General features: G+C 35.5%; 1 protein-coding gene across 21 annotated transcripts in view; it reads right to left on the bottom strand.

Moving 5' to 3' along the window:
• The window catches only part of RANBP17 (RAN binding protein 17), a 437,998-nt gene that overhangs the window by 331,410 nt on the left and 88,641 nt on the right, over positions 1 to 17,947 (bottom strand). For all 21 annotated transcript variants that reach the window (XR_007058628.1, XR_941108.3, XR_007058630.1 and 18 more), the window contains 2 exons: positions 14,904 to 15,009; positions 229 to 364 (listed from right to left, as the gene is read on the bottom strand). Coding sequence is in view for 17 of the 21 variants with exons in the window: in XM_011534627.2 (XP_011532929.1) it covers positions 229 to 364; positions 14,904 to 15,009 (242 nt within the window). In the remaining 4 variants the exon portion in view is untranslated. The remainder of the gene's footprint in view (positions 1 to 228; positions 365 to 14,903; positions 15,010 to 17,947) is intronic.

The following is a 17,947-nucleotide window of genomic DNA, read 5'->3' as shown; positions in this document are numbered from 1 at the left end:
CATGTAAAACATATTCATTACCTCTCTGCCACTCAATCTTTAAAGAAAATGGTAAACTAGGTATAAAACAAGCAACTTAATTTTACATTGCACTTCATCACCAATTCATCAATTCATTAATCAATTACACGTCTTATGTAGAAATTTCCCAAATATATCATTCAGTTATATATGTACATCTTTCTTCATCCCCAATAACATGTTTTAAACTCTCTAGTAGAAACCTACCTTTGAGGTTCTTTGAAGTTGATCACCAACATATGTTTTACGAAACTGATCCAAGAACCACAGAATTGCAAGCTCTATTTTCTCATTACAACATCGAGGCAATCCGGTATCCATTAAAGATATAAGCTGAAAAACTCTTCATGAAGGGAAAATAAAAAAAAAACCTTCAGTACAAAACCTTAGAGAAACAACATTAAAACATTTACCATAAATGTAATATAACATATAATCACTGTAAAAAGTGGGAAAATAAAAAAATATAAAGAAAATATTTTTTGAATCATCTGAAATCCTACTACTGAGAGATATTACTACTTGGTCTAATTCATTCTAGCCTTTTTTTCCTAAGACATACACATACATGCATATAGATGCAAAACTCTGTATGTATATACAGATATTATTTTACTAAAAACTGATAAAATAAATGCATGGCATACACATAAAAAACCCTATACTACAGTAAAAATTTACTATAAATTTTTAGTAAAAGAAGAAGGATATTAAGTATGTAGTCTTGTATTTCACCTTTTTACTTAATCTTGTATTTCTAAATAATTAAATATTTTGAGGTCATGACTCAAAGTTCAAAAAAATATCAAGAGGTACATCTAACAAAAGTTATATCCTGCCCTTAATGAATAATAAAATTTTACCTTAAATAAACTACAAGGTGATCTTTACAAAATCAAATATTCCTAACAGCAGTTAAACTATTATTAAGAGAAAATCACAACTTTTCTATTATTATTCAAAACTATTATTATTAGAAAATTATAAATGAACTGAAGATTATGTTAAATTTCCTACAGAAAAAGCTTAATTCAATATAATGAAAAACTTAGTGCAGAACCTCAAAAAAAATCCTTCAATATTATCTATTTTCATTAAAATTTTCTGGTGGATGACCGCCAAGTACCTTGTGCTAACAAAATGAATATAATATAATAATTTTTTGAGACAGAAGTAGAGGTTGTTGAGGAAGCAGTATCCTTTTCTAATTTGCACAAAGGAAGCTCTGTCTAGGCCTGACCCACCCAGTTTCTTCCATATATGCACACATGAACATATATACACACATTATTAATAGTTTATATGTCTTCCAGAGAATGTTTTATGTATGTACAGGCAAATATGACTACAGATTCTCCTCCCAACCCTTCTGAACACATAGAACATATTATCCACATGGTTCTAAGCTTAGCTTTTTCCATTGAACAATGAATCTTAGAGCTCTTTACACATCAGACATAAGGAGGTTCCTCATTCTCTTCTGAAGCTGCTTAACATTCCATTATATGAGCATGGAATGTTCTTCCATTTCTTTGTATCCTCTTTTATTTCATTGAGCAGTGGTTTGTAGTTCTCCTTGAAGAGGTCCTTCACGTCCCTTGTAAGTTGGATCCCTAGGTATTTTATTATCTTTGAAGCAATTGTGAATGGGAGTTCACTCATGATTTGGATCTCTGTTTGTCTGTTATTGGTGTGTAAGAATGCTTGTGATTTTTGTACATTGATTTTGTATCCTGAGACTTTGCTGAAGTTGCTTATCAGCTTAAGGAGATTTTGGGCTGAGACAATGGGGTTTTCTAGATATACAATCATGTCATCTGCAAACAGGGACAATTTGACTTCCTCTTTTCCTAATTGAATACCCATTACTTCCTTCTCCTGCCTAATTGCCCTGGCCAGAACTTCCAACACTATGTTGAATAGGAGTGGTGAGAGAGGGCATCCCTGTCTTGTGCCAGTTTTCAAAGGGAATGCTTCCAGTTTTTGCCCATTCAGTATGATATTGGCTGTGGGTTTGTCATAGATAGCTCTTATCATTTTGAGATACGTCCCATCAATACCTAATTTATTGAGAGTTTTTAGCTTGAAGGGTTGTTGAATTTTGTCAAAGGTCTTTTCTGCATCTATTGAGATAATCATGTGGTTTTTGTCTTTGGTTCTGTTTATATGCTGGATTACATTTATTGATTTGCGTATATTGAACCAGCCTTGCATTCCAGGGATGAAGCCCACTTGATCATGGTGGATAAGCTTTTTGATGTGGTACTGGATTTCGTTTGCCAGTATTTTATTGAGGATTTTTGCATCAATGTTCATCAAGGATATTGGTCTAAAATTCTCTTTTTTGGTTGTGTCTCTGCCCGGCTTTGGTATCAGGATGATGCTGGCCTCATAAAATGAGTTAGGGAGGATTCCCTCTTTTTCTACTGATTGGAATAGTTTCAGAAGGAATGGTACCAGTTCCTCCTTGTACCTCTGGTAGAATTCGGCTGTGAATCCATCTGGTCCTGGACTCTTTTTGGTTGGTAAGCTATTGATTATTGCCACAATTTCAGAGCCTGTTATTGGTCTATTCAGAGATAAAATGGCCATACTGCCCAAGGTAATTTATAGATTCAATGCCATCCCCATCAAGCTACCAATGACTTTCTTCACAGAATTGGAAAAAACTACTTTAAAGTTCATATGGAACCAAAAAAGAGCCTGTGTCACCAAGTCAATCCTAAGCCAAAAGAACAAAGCTGGAGGCATCATGCTACCTGACTTCAAACTATACTACAAGGCTACAGTAACCAAAACAGCATGGTACTGGTACCAAAACAGAGATACAGACCAACGGAACAGAACAGAGCCCTCAGAAATAACGCTGCATATCTACAACTATCTGATCTTTGACAAACCTGAGAAAAACAAGAAATGGGGAAAGGATTCCCTATTTAATAAATGGTGCTGGGAAAACTGGCTAGCCATATATAGAAAGCTGAAACTGGATCCCTTCCTTACACCTTATACAAAAATTAATTCAAGATGGATTAAAGACTTACATGTTAGACCTAAAACCATAAAAACCCTAGAAGAAAACCTAGGCATTACCATTCAGAACATAGGCATGGGCAAGGACTTCATTTCTAAAACACCAAAAGCAATGGCAACAAAAGCCAAAATTGACAAATGGGATCTAATTAAACTAAAGAGCTTCTGCACAGCAAAAGAAACCACCATCAGAGTGAACAGGCAACCTACAAAATGGGAGAAAATTTTCGCAACCTACTCATCTGACAAAGGGCTAATATCCAGAATCTACAATGAACTCAAACAAATTTACAAGAAAAAAAAAAACAACCCCATCAAAAAGTGGGCAAAAGACATGAACAGATACTTCTCAAAAGAAGACATTTATGCAGCCAAAAGACACATGAAAAAATGCTCACCATCACTGGCCATCAGAGAAATGCAAATCAAAACCACAATGAGATACCATCTCACACCAGTTAGAATGGCAGTCATTAAAAAGTCAGGAAACAACAGGTGCTGGAGAGGATGTGGAGAAATAGGAACACTTTCACACAGTTGGTGGGACTGTAAACTAGTTCAACCATTGTGGAAGTCAGTGTGGCGATTCCTCAGGGATCTAGAACTAGAAATACCATTTGACCCAGCCATCCCATTACTGGGTATATACCCAAAGGACTATAAATCATGCTGTTATAAAGACACATGCACACGTATGTTTATTGTGGCACTATTCACAATAGCAAAGACTTGGAACCAACCCAAATGTCCAACAATGATAGACTGGATTAAGAAAATGTGGCACATATACACCATGGTATACTAGGCAGCCTTAAAAAATGATGAGTTCATGTCCTTTGTAGGGACATGGATGAAATTGGAAATCATCATTCTCAGTAAACTATCGCAAGGACAAAAAACCAAACACTGCATGTTCTCACTCATAGGTGGGAATTGAACAATGGGAACACATGGACACAGGAAGGGGAACATCACACTCTGTGGACTGTTGTGGGGTGGGGGGAGGTGGAAGGGATAGCATTAGGAGATACACCTAATGCTAAATGACGAGTTGATGGGTGCAGCACACCAGCATGGTACATGTATACATATGTAACTAACCTGCACATTGTGCACATGTACCCTAAAACTTAAAGTATAATAATAATAAAATTAACAACAACAACAAAAAAACATTCCATTATATGAATACACCATAATATTTTCAAACATTCCCCTATTGATGGACACTAAGGTTGTTTATAATTTTTTGCTGTTACAAAATGCTGCAATTAACAATCTTGCATATGTCATTTCACACATGTCCATCTATAACACACATTTCAAAAAGTCAAGCTACTCACTCGAACAGCATAAATTATTATAATTTTGATAGCTATTACCAAAGTGCACTCCATAAAAATTGAAATAATTTATACTCTTACCATCACTCCATAAGAGTGTCTATATACACACAGACAAGATAATTCAGGATGACAGAAAATTAGAATTTCTGGAAAGTTGAAAAACGGCATCTCGGTGTATTTTAATTTGTACACCTCTTATTTAGGCGAGGTTAAAAATTTTCCATGTCATTTTCTGTGACCCGTTTGCTCATATCCTTTCCTGATTTTTTTTCTATTTGGCTGTCTTTTAATTACTGAGTTTTACAAATTATTTATATATCAGAGGGTTGACCCCTTTGTCTATAATTGAACTGTAAACAATTTTGTGTTTCATTTGTCTCTTGACTTTATGACAAGGGTCCCCAAACCCTGGGCTGCAGACCGGTACTAGTCTGTGGCCTGTTAGGAACCAGGCTGCACAGCAGGAGGTGGGCAATGAGCAAGCAAGCATTATCGCCTGAGCTCCGCCTCCTGTCAGATCAGCTGCAGCACTAGATTCTCACAGGAGTGCAAACCCTACTGTGAACTGTGCATGCGAGGGATCTAGGTTGTGTGCTCTTTATGACAATCTAATGCCTGGTGATCTGAGGTGGAACAGTTTCATCCTGAAACCATCCCCTGCCCCGGTCCATGGAAAAACCATCTTCTACTAAACCAGTCCCTGGGGCCTACTGCTTTATAATGTTTAATGCCATGCAGAAGTTTTTGTTATTGTTTTTCTCATGCAGAAAATTTGTTCAATTTTTTCTTTCATGGATTTTGCATAATAGCAAGGTCTTACCTGAATCAGGTATTTTTGTGATTCTTGTTTTCTACATTTACCTCTATGATACACTGAGATTCATCTTGATTATACAGTGTGAGACAAGGAGCTAACATTATTTTTTAAAGATGCCTACCCAGTTGCTTCAAAACCATTTATTTCCTGTACAGACTATCTTTTGTTCACCATTATGAAGTATTTATCATATATACTAGGATTCACTTATGCATTCAGAACACTTACTGAACCTTTTATTCTTTTCTACAATCCATCACACTAAATATATCTTGACCAATTATTTTTACCATGTTATTAAATAATTTTCCAAAGCACTGTTTTTAATGGTTGCATAAAATTAAGGCTACATCAAAATTTAATCATCTTATTTTGGATAAAAATTCATATTTCTAAGTAAAACATAACTACTTTCCCCTCCTTTACCCTCAATGACTTCTCGAAACAAAACGTCTAGGTCACAGCATACGAAAATTTTTAAAAACTTGCTACGTATTGCCAACATGTTAAGAAAAAATATTTTGACAAGCGTTTTTATAGTGATTATTTCCTATATTTATAAATAAAGCTACTTATTTAAAAGTACCCTTTGCATACCAAATATTCTCAGTACTGCTAAGATTTATGGAGAACTTGCTGAGGAATTAGATTTAAGAATTAGATTATTATAAACAGGTTTTGAGGTTTTTTTCCTAATAGGATGTGTGATACGTTTATCTTCTAATTTTGAGATGAGGAGTAAAGCTAAATTTTAAAATCTGTGTACTGGTGAATTAGCAGATTACTGGAGTAAGTTTTAGTTAAATAAATAGATATATACATCAAATTTCATCTCTGGAGCCAAGTGATTTGTCAAGTGACTTAAATAAGGTGTATCTTGTTTTTAAATTCTTCATTGCATAGGATCTCCCTTCTCCTACTCAAGTTCTGTGTTGATTTTATGCACTTTCTCTTGTTTACTTTTATTTCCTTTTTATAGCACACATTCCCAAATTCAAAGAAGATGTGGAACAAAAATTTGTTGGGGTGCCTTTACAACTCATTTTAAGCTGGTGATCTGCATTTGCCTAAGAGGCAATGACATCCCCACCAGCAAGAGAGTAGGAATGAGTTCCCAGCAGGGTACACAATCCATTTGTCAAAGAAGTTTTAGCAGTTGTACTGGTTCAGCTGCAAGTGTATGAAATCCAAAATAACAATGGCTTACATAATATAGATGTTTATTTCTCTCTCAAGCAAAAATCCAGGGTAGTTCCCTAAAGCTAGTTGGTGCTCCAAGATGTATCAGGGGCTCAGGTTCCTTCCATCTTGTTGTTACACTTGCCTCCACAAGCACTCTGTGGTCTGAGGTAGCTTTTTCAGCTCCACCCATTACATCTACATATATTACACATAACACGTTCATTTACACTAAGAACATAATCACTTTGCCATACCTAGCTGCAAAACAACCTAGAAAATCTGGTCTTTATTCAGAGTGGCCATTTGCTCAAGAAAACAATCAAGCACTTTATTATGGGAAGGGAAAGGAAGAAGAGATGAAAGACAATTGACAGTCTCTACCACAGTGCCCTCTGAAGATGTGCTGCCACCTCTAACAAGTGTATAAGACTAATGCCTATACATACCAATATATACAGGTTAAGTATTCCTTTTGTGAAATGCTTCAGATCAGAAGTGTTTCAGATTTTTAATTTTTTTGAAATTTGGAATATCTGCATTATACTTACCATCTGAGCATCTCGAATCCAAAAATCCATAATCTGAAATGCTTCAATGAGCATTTCCTTTAAGCATGACCTTTGAGATTCATGTTGATGCTCAAACTGTTTCAGATTTTGAAGCATTTCAAATTTCAGATTTTTGGATTAGGGATGTTCAATGTGTATATAATATCCATTCCCAGTTTCAATTTATTGTCCTACATGTATTATTCGTTTATCTTAAATTATTTCTGGTAAAAAGCACAGAATAAAAAGATAAATAATTTTTGATCCAAGTATAAGCATGCCATTTCAAACACAATGAAATGAATTTTGGATAACTGTGCTGAATTTTCCTAGGTATCCAACTAAATAAGCATTTATTCAGTCAACAAATTTGAGGGCCCACTATACGTCAGATATGTGTCAGGCATTCAAAATACAACAAAGTACAAGACCTATATATCCCCAGTCCTCTAGAAATCTATAATCTATCAAGAGGAAGATAAAAGAAGCAGCTGGAATAAAGAATGACAAGTCCTATAACAAATGCTATTTCCTAATATTCTAGGACGAACAAGGCAAAGCCATAGTGTTGCGACAAAAAGGAAAGCATGTGTAGCCATCTAAAGGGGCAGGGGGCCGGGTGCAGTGGCTCACGCCTGTAATCCCAGCACTTTGGGAGCCCAAGGCAGGCAGATCCCTTGAGGTCAGGAGTTTGAGATCATCCTGGCCAACACGGTGAAACCCTGTCTCTACTAAAAATAAAAAAATTAGCCAGGTGTGGTGGCAGGAGCCTGTATCCCAGCTACTCAGCTGTATAATGTTCAACATGGCTATAATGTAGTGAATGGCAGAAAATGAGGCTAATGGGACAGGCAGGAGCCAGATAATGAACAGCCTGATAAGCCATGTTGTTCATCTTAAAAACAATGACGTCATTGCATAGTTCAAGCCAAGCATTGACATAATCAGATCTGTACTTTAGAAAGATTACTCTGGCTGCAAAAGGAAGCAAGAAGTCCGTTTAAAAACTTACTACTAATCCAGGTGAAAGATGATAGTAGCTAAACTGGCAGAGGAGATAGGATAGGTGGACTAACTGAGGTAACTAAAAGATAGAACTGACAGGACTTGATGACTATATGAATGCTAGAGAGAAAAAGGGAAAAAGTTAAGGATAACTCTCACGATTCAGGCTTGGGAAACTGAGTGTATGATGAAGAGACATGTGAAGAGAGCCAGGGTTAGGTGATGGAAAAGATGAGTTTAATTTTAGTCACTGAATTAGAGGTGCATGTGGGATACAACATCCCAGTGAAACAGCCCAATAGGTGTTTAGAAGTCAGAAGACAAGAATTACTGAAACAAAATAGAATCACTGAGCAATGCTGAGGGCCTAGTTGAGGTTAAAAACAACAAGTGACAATGGGTCCTATCCACAGAAGTGTGCAATTTCTGTTACTATCACTCAACAAATTAGAGAAAACCCTAAATTCCCTCAGGGTTAAGGTTTTGCTACACAGAGGAGATAAAATACAGCAGTAAGCAAAACAAAGCTTACTCCTTCCCTTACTCTAGTAGAACAAACAACATCAAGAGGTAATAAGTACTATCAAGAAAAATAAAGTGGGGTAAGGATGCTATTTTGGATAGGGAGGTCAGAGGAGCCCTCTTTGAAAAAGACATCTGAGTACAGACCTGACTGAAGTGAGGAAGAATAGTTTGCCCTTGAACAAGACAGGTTTGAACTGTGCAGGTCCACTTATATGCAAATTTTCTTGCGCCTCTGCCATCCCTGAGAGAGTAAGACCAACTTCGCCTTCTCAGCTTTTAAGCCTACCCAATGTTTAAGATGAAGAGGATAAAGACCTTTATGAAGATCCACTTAATGAACAGAAAATTTACTTTTTCTTCCTTATGGTTTTCTTAGTAACATTTTCTTTTCTCTAGCTTCCTTTGTTAGAATACAGCATAGAATACATATAACATACAAAATATGTTTTAATTGACTGTTTATGTTATCAATAAGGTTTACAGTCAGCAGTGGGCTATTAGTAGTTAAATTTGGGGGGAGTCTAAAGTTACAGGCAGATTTTCAACTGTGTGGAAGGTTGGTGCCCCTAACTCCCACATTGTTCAAGGGCCAAATGTACTATACAAACATCTGGAAGAAAGTATTCTTAGCAGAAGAAAGAGAAGTGCAAAGGCCCTAAAGTGAAAACACACTGGTAATACTCAAAGGACAGCAAGGAGGCCAGTGTTAAATGGGAAAGGGTAGGAAATGAGGTCAGAAGTAGCACAGGATACTCTGGGCCATCACAAGGGCCTTGAAATTTGTCTCAAGTGTGATAGGAAGCCACTGGAGGCTTATGGGTAAGAAAATGGGAGAAATATTATCTGATCAGAAAGCAGCTGAAGTTATTTATATAATAGCAGGGTTTGGGAGAGAGAGGAAAACTCTGAGCTAGTTATTAAAGTCTTGATAATGAGGGATGACTGGGAGATGGGTAGGTGAGAGCAATGAGAGACACAGGGTGGCACAGCTAAGTAGAATAGGTCTGAAAGAAGCTAGCACTCAATCTACTAGCACTAGTGGATTACATTTATGCCTAGTGTTCCATTATTGGAACGCTAAGCATGTGGGAGTTATTTATATCCTACTGCTCAAGGTCATCGCCAAGGTCTGATAGCAAAAATTTTAAAAATTGCAACTGCATACATAAATGAGTTAACAGGATGCATGATGAATAAGACAAAATCCCTGGAGAATCTCTCAAGAGGTTTTCATTTTAGTCATGATGAATGAAACTAAAATGACTATAAATGTCTTTATTTAATTAGAATTATGTGGCCTGAGTGTAAATATATTTATTTGCTATGTTTAAAGTAGCATGTTTCAGTCATAATTATAAATCATCACAATGTTAGGAGCTTTTATGACTCTTCAACTTTTCATGCCAAAATAGCACATGAAGTTTTGGCAGGAGCTTCATGATCTTCTAATTTGGTAGTGTTCTCTGAGGAGTTGGAATGCTATTATATATAACTTATAGAAAGTCACAGTACTGTAGTTCCAATTATTTGGAACATCTTCATATGAAAGTGATTTTTTTTGTAATTTTACGTAAGACATCATTCTTAGTTTAGAATCTCAATATTCTAAAATACATATTTATTTCCAGACTGTTGTGTAAGTCCTAGAATATGCCCCACCTTGAATTTGCTTGGCCCTGCTTGCACACCCACCAACCACACTATCACCTCTCACCTCACCCCTGGCTTCAGCCACTTGTCTTGTAGCCCCAGAAAAGACTCTCACAGTTTCTGGAGTTATGTATCTTCCCAGAAAAGAGAGACAAACCACCATTCCTGTTCATAACTCTAACAGGACCAATTAAAGCTCTGTCTTCCCAGCAGCTCCTCAAAGAGGCCAGGAAACATAACTAAGAAGTGTGGAAAAGTGAAATACCCCAGGAGTAGACATTAACCAGTAAGAAACGAGACACAGAAAGAAGCCAATGGATATACTGCTTGTCCTTACTCCCCCAGTCATGAGTTGTTCTGAGGCACAAGTGGTTTCGTGTGGCCTCCAGGGAAAATTCCTATAAAAGCAAGCAACCAGTTGTATTTTCTCAGTAATACACCACCTTACATAGTTGGTTCTCATTATTCATGGTAGTTATATTCTGTAGTCACTGTGAACACTGAATTAGTGAATAATGAACCATTGCTCCTAGGTAAAATACAGGATTAGGTTCCTGCAAGCCTCTGGTGACAACATTTTGGTCAATGGATTGCAATCTTGTTTCATGTGTATTTCTGTTTAGAGAGGCTTTTTCAAATATGTTGTTGACTTGTTAACACTGAACTCACAGACTACTGCAGTATTCACAGTACTCCCACTGGTACCCAAACAAAGCTAATCTAACCCATGTATGGCACATGACAGCCTTCTTGTATTTAAGAACACTAAATAGCACTTTAACAATACAGCTGGGCGATTTTAAACACTGAAAGCACCAACAAAAAGCACAACAGTATGAAAAATGTGGCTCTAAACAGAATATAAAAAGGGCAATTATTTGCAGTACAAGAGCTGAAACAAGGCAGAGTATCACCTTGTTCAACCTCAGTTGGGAAAGTGCAACACAAAACTCAAATTTTTTCATCCCTAAGCACATGTCTGCAAATGACCACAAAAGCACCATGAGTACTGATTTTGGGATTAGAAACACATTTTATGAAGTAGGCAAATTCACAAAAAATGGAATCCAGGAATAATAAAGATTGACTGTATTTGTTTTCTCTTATTGTCTCACTTACTTTCCCTTTCCTCTTATTCTTTCTTCTCTAAAAATGTACTCTTCTCCCTAACCTCCAGAAAAATATTGGCCCATGAACTTCACCCAAGGCTCTGTTTTCCAGGGAATGCAGGCCAAAACACAAATCTTAGTTCAACATGTTCAATACGTTTGCTGCTTAAATAAAAAACTAATATTTGTTTCTCATTGGCAAATATATACCTACTTTATTTCCTAATATACGTTTTCTCACGAGATAGTGGCAGTGTGCGCGTGTGTGTGTGTGTGTGTGTGTGTGTGTGTGTGTGTTTTGAGACAGAGTCTCGCTCTGTTGCCCAGGCTGGGGTGCAGTGGCACGATCTCGGCTCACTGCAAGCTCTGCCTCCGGGGTTCACGCCATTCTCCCGCCTCAGCCTCCAGAGTAGCTGGGACTACAGATGCCCGCCACCACACCTGGCTAATTTTTGTATTTTTAGTAGAGACGGGGTTTCACCGTGTTAGCCAGGATGGTCTCGATCTCCTGACCTCGTGATCCGCCCACCTTGGCCTCCCAAAGTGCTGGGATTACAGGCATGAGCCACTGCGCCCAGTCGTTTATTTCCCTGCTTGATGATTAAACTTAAAAAAAAATCAGCTGGGCACAGTTGCTCACGCCTGTAATCCCAGCACTTTGGGAGGCCAAGGCAGGCAGATCACCCGAGGTCAAGAGTTCGAGACCAGCCTGACCAACATGGAGAAACCCCATCTCTGCTAAAAATACAAAATTAGCCAGGCGTGGTGGCATATGCCTATAATCCCAGCTACTCGAGAGATTGAGTAGCAAATTTTTTGTTTGGTTGAAAAGTAACTAAAGCACTTTAAGGAGGCCCCAAACACCTGTTATTCATATTTTCAAGTAATTCAATTTGATATAGAAAATAATAAGTCTTAGAAAAACTAAAAATATTCATGGTCCATGAAGATTCACATTTTATTGAAGAAATAGTTTAAAGGTTGAAAAGGAAATGGAACAAAATGAAATTTTTTATCCAAAAGTACAATAAATTCATTAAGCACTTAGAAATATATTTAATAATAAAAATGAAGGAGAATATCACAAGTAGGTATAACAATTTTAAGGTCTTTAATAGGGTAAAAATATATAACAATATACTTCTAAGATCAATGGAAAAGTATGAAAGGCCTGAAAAAAGATGAAATAATTTTGTGTAAGATATAAGTGCCACTTCAAATCAGTAGAGGGTAGGATTGGCATTAATTGGAAAATTTGGAAAAAACATATGAAACCAAATATCAAGATATATTAAAAATAAATATAAAAAGCTATTAATACCAAAGACAGCTGGGAGAAAATACAGGTGGATATTTTCATTAATCAGAAGTGGAAAAAAAATCTTTCTAAATATAAGCAGCAGAGAAATATGAAGGAAAAAGTCCATAGATCTGAATACATAATATTTAAAGCCAGTAAAGAAGAAATTTCTGAAGTAAAAATACAGAGAAAACATTTTCAAAATGAGGAGCAAAATATTAAGATCTCTGAGATATATATATATATATATACAGGAATTTTAGGTTGTTCCTCAATTTTTGTTATTATAAATTACTTTTAGATATAACTAAATTATTTTTAATTATATCTTTATGTAGATTGAAATAATTTCATTAGAGTTCGTTCCTCTACAGAGTTCATTCAGTGTATATATATATATATATATATATATATATATATACACTGAGCATATATATATATATATATATATACACTGAGCATATATATATATATATATATATATATACACACAGACTGAGCATATATATATATACACAGACTGAGCATATATATATATACACAGACTGAGCATATATATACATATATATATATACACACTGAGCATATATATATATATATATAGATATATATATATACTGAGCTCTTTCAAATAAGTTAGAAGAGATCATCACAAAAGAAAAGCAGGTAAATAATATAATCAATATAGATATAAAAATCACAAAGAAAAAATGGCAAAGCTAGGAGTGGAAAAGAATGTTTGATTCTACTAGTAACCAAATAAATACCAATTGAAATAATACATTTGTTACCTATAAACTGGCAACAATATGAACCCTACTATCTGGCAGTTCAACCACTAACAAATGTTAACTATCATACAATTTGGGTTCAGCACAGTGGTCCCCAACCTTTTTGGCACCAGGGACCAGTTTCCTGGAAGACAATGTTTCCATGGATGGGGTTTGGGGTGGTGTGGGGTGACGGTCTCAGGATGAAACTGTTCCACCTCAGATCACCAGGCATTAGATTCCCGTAAGGAGCATGCAACCTAGATCCCTCACATGTGTAGTTTAGGGTTCACCCTCCTATGAGAATCTATGTCCCTGCTGATCTGACAGGAGGCGGAGCTCAGGCAGTAATCCTTGCTCACCTGCAGCTCACCTCCTGCTATGCAGCCCAGTTCCTAACAGGCTGTGGACCAGTACAGGGGTTGGGGACCCTTGGTTCAGAGGATACATTGGTCCTTTTTCAGAACACCGTGTGGTATTGAGTATTGAAAGTCTTTAAAATGCTACATAACTTTTGACCAGCTATTCTGCATTTAGGAACGAACTCTAATGAAATTATTTCAGTCTACATAAAGATATAACTAAAAACAATTTAGTATATCTAAAAGTAATTTATAATAAAAAAAATTGAGGAACAACCTAAAATTCCAAAAACAAGGAATTTTCTAAATTTAGAAAATTTAATGTCCAGGTAAAATGTTGATATTGCATTTGATTTTAAAAAGTGGTGTTGAGGTGGGTGGGTGGGGTTGGGGTGTGTGTGTGTGTGTGTGTGTGTGTGTGTGTGTAAAATATACCACTAATTGCCAGGCACTGTTCTAAGCATTTAAAAAAATAAATTCCTTATAATAGCCCAAAATAAGTTAGGTATTATTATTAGCTCCATCTTACATTGTTTTGTAATGTTTAAGAAAAGTTGAAAAACACACATGCAGTAAACATACACCCATACACGTTAATTAAAAAGACTCAAACGGACTTTACAAAATAACAGTAGTGGTTATCTCCAAATTAGTATATAATTTTTATTTTCATTTGAATGTTTAAGTCTTCAATAAAAACATGTATGACGCTGTTATAAGGAGATTTGTTATTAAAAATAAATTAAAATATATGGAAAATCAATTCACTTGTATTATTCATATATAGAAATTTTCCTCAGGTTAGAATAGAAACTTGAAGAGAATAATTCAACTGCTTTTTCCTAAGACTGTGGCCAATAGGTGACAAAACCTGCGATGGGTAACTGACTACCTAATACTTTCTGATTGGATGTATGTCACCCAATTTTGCCACCTTTCCAATACACACCAACTGTATGTGCTTGCTCACATCCTAAGTAATAAAAAGCAACCTAAATCTTTATCACATTATTTGCACAAACATGTACAAAATATTTTGAGTCTATCACTTATTAGAGATTTGACTTCTACAAATCATTTAACCTTTGAGCCTTGGTTTTCTCACCAATAAAAAGGGAAATAATACCTTCCTCAAAAGGCCACATACAAAATGTCTTCACTCATAATACTAGTTCAATAACTAATTTTTTTTAACTATTTAGTGAATTTCAGTAAATTACATAGCTCTTACTTACCGACAGGATAATTCTCCATCCATAGCATCATGCTCATCTGTACTGGTATATGTTAATCTTCCTCCTACAACTGTCCCAACTAAGTATACCAGCCATGCAAGACGTCCTAATATAGAATAAGGAAGAAAAAAGTTTAGTAAGTATTCATAGAAACGTAGCTTATCTTGGGGGAAATTCCAAAATCAGCACAATGATCTGTTCTTCCAAATGAGTGATAAATTATTGTGAACTCAGTTCTGGATAGAAAGCAGATCGGTTTTAAGTTTATCAAGGCAGTAGAACACTGAAAATGGCATAGAATTTAGAGCCAAATAAAACTAATTTGAATCCCAGCTCTACTAATTTGCTATGTGATCTTGCATAAGTTACTTATCTCTTTAAGTCTTAGGGTTTTCATTTGTAAAATGGAAAAAACAATGTCTACCATGAAGACATGACTGAAAATAAATTTGAGTACAAAACACTAAACTGTCTAGGACCAGATCTGTTATTCAGTCAGGATGTACTCTCATGATCCAAGGACCAGCATCTTTTCTGAATGGTCAATGTCATGATAGTACCAGTGTGATCATTTTAAATATTTCCCCTGCTTGGAACATAATAGATAGTAATAAATTTGTTCCTTCTGTATTTTTATGCATGATGTATTAAAAAATCCAAGATTTCACATTGTTTGATGGTAGAGTTAACTTCACAGCTGATAGTAGTAGAGGATTAAATAGATTTAAGGCAGTGGCACAAATGGCAACATCTACAGTTTTCATAAATCTTACTTTGGGGGCAGCTGAAATTGACTAATTTAGAAATGGAGGTATTTATTCAATGATTTTTGCTTAAGGTATATTATTTTATATCTCTGGATTCATTGATCTAGGTGATCCTTCAGTACTTTTGAGACCTTTACAAATAATTAACAACATAAAATTATCTTGCTAAAAACAAATTTTATGCTATTCTTGGAGACTGATTTTTCAAAGATGAGAGGGCTATTTCATAATACTGAAATCAATTGTTTCTGATTAAGAAACGCTTTCAAGTAAAAATGTTTTTTTAAAAGGTATGGAACTGAATAATGAAGAAAAGAGGCTATCTGCTTGTTAGAAGACTCAGAAAGGACAAATAAAAGTTAGAAAAAGAACAAATTCTTTCTGTTCTCCCATGGATACTAGCAGTCATTATTATACTACAATTAATCAACAACTCTTTTATAATTTTTGGTGAGACATATCAACCTATTAGGGTGACAAGATTCCTGTAAATTAGAAATCTAACCTGGCAAGTATTCACATCCTTTATTCTCTCACAAAACAAAAATAAACCAGAACTGACCAATTATACAGCCTTATACATTAGGAATGTGAAATAGATTAAGTAGGAGAGTAAGAACACTAATTTGATCAAGTAATCCACTGAAAAACAGACTCAAGTTTCATGACATACAATTCATGAAAAACGTAACAGATCAAAAACTTCATGTAGGAAGCTGAAAGTATCCAGAAAGTTACCTTATGAATTTCAGTGTTTTAGGGTCAATATAAAAGTCTATCATAGAAGCTCTACTCTGATGACCCTGCTTTCTCTGTAGGCTCTATCAAGTGGTAGCTGCTTTTTCTTCCACTTCTCGTGTATCTTGGGCCTTGAATATGGAGTAGGTGATCTTCACGTTCCTCATTTCTACTTAATATTTTCTCTTTCTTCATCATGAAAGCATTCACCTTTACATCTTACATCATCAACAACACTAACAAATATCCCTTCTTATTGCAATTATCTACTCTCCTGCAGATTATTTCCCCCTGTTTTTTGAAAGTATTGGTTCTTGGCTGTCAGTCTTTCCAACAATATTTATATCATAATCACTAGTGATTTCAATATCTACAAAGATGAATCTCACAACTCCATAATCCTTTGTTTTACTGGGAATCTTCAATCCATGAGCCTATCACTTTTTGAACAGCTTCACTGAAATATAATTCACATACCATACAAGTAACCCACTTAAAGGATATAATTCAATGTTTTTTAGTAAATTAACAGGGTTATGCAAGCATCACCACAATCTAATTTTAGAACATTTTCATACTAGCTGTCATTCTGCATCCTACCCCCATGCCCCTAGCTTCTAAACAACCACTAAGCTACTTTATGTCTCATTAGATTTTCCCATTCTGGGCAATTCATATAAATGGAATCATACAATAAGTGAGTGTTGTGACTATCTCCTTTCAAGTCAGCATAATGTTTTCAAGGACCACCCATGTTTTAGCACATATCAATACTTATTTTTCTTTATAGCTGAATAACATTCCATTGTTTGTATAGATCTTATTTATTTTTATTGATACACCATATTTGTTCATACTTGTGGGGTACATGTGATACTTTGTTACATGCAAAGAATGTTTAATGATCATGTCAGGGTATTTGGCATATCTATTGCCTCGAGTATTCACCATTTCTGTGTTGAGAATAATTCAAATCCTGCCTTCTATTTTGAAATATGGAATACACTGTTAACTATAGTTATAGTTACCCTACTCTATCAAACATTAGAACTTATACCTTTTATCTAACTGTATGTTTGTACTCATTAGCCAACCTCTCTTCATCCTGCCCCACTCCCCAGTCCACCCACACACCATTCTCAGCTTCTCCTATCATTCTGTTCTTTACCTCAATGAAATGAATTTTTTAGGTCCCACATATGTATAAGAACACATGGTATTTGTCTTTCCGTGCCAGGCTTATTTCACTTAACCTCCAGTTCCACCTATGTTGCTGCAAATGACACGATTTCATTCTTTCTTATGGCCTAACGGTATTCTACTATGTATATATACCACATTATTTTATCCATCCATCAACGGGAATGTAGGTTGATTCCATATCTTTGCTATTGTGAACAGTGCTGCAATAAACATGGAAGTACAGGTATTCTTTTAACATACTGAACTCTTTCCCTTTGGATAAATGCCCAGTATTGGGATTGCTGGACAATACGGTAGTTCTATTTTTCATTTTTGAGAAATCTCCCTATTTTCCAT

This window comes from Homo sapiens, chromosome 5 (assembly GCF_000001405.40).
Source record: "Homo sapiens chromosome 5, GRCh38.p14 Primary Assembly".
Lineage (NCBI taxonomy): Eukaryota > Metazoa > Chordata > Mammalia > Primates > Hominidae > Homo > Homo sapiens.
This window is presented reverse-complemented; position numbering and strand designations above follow the sequence as displayed.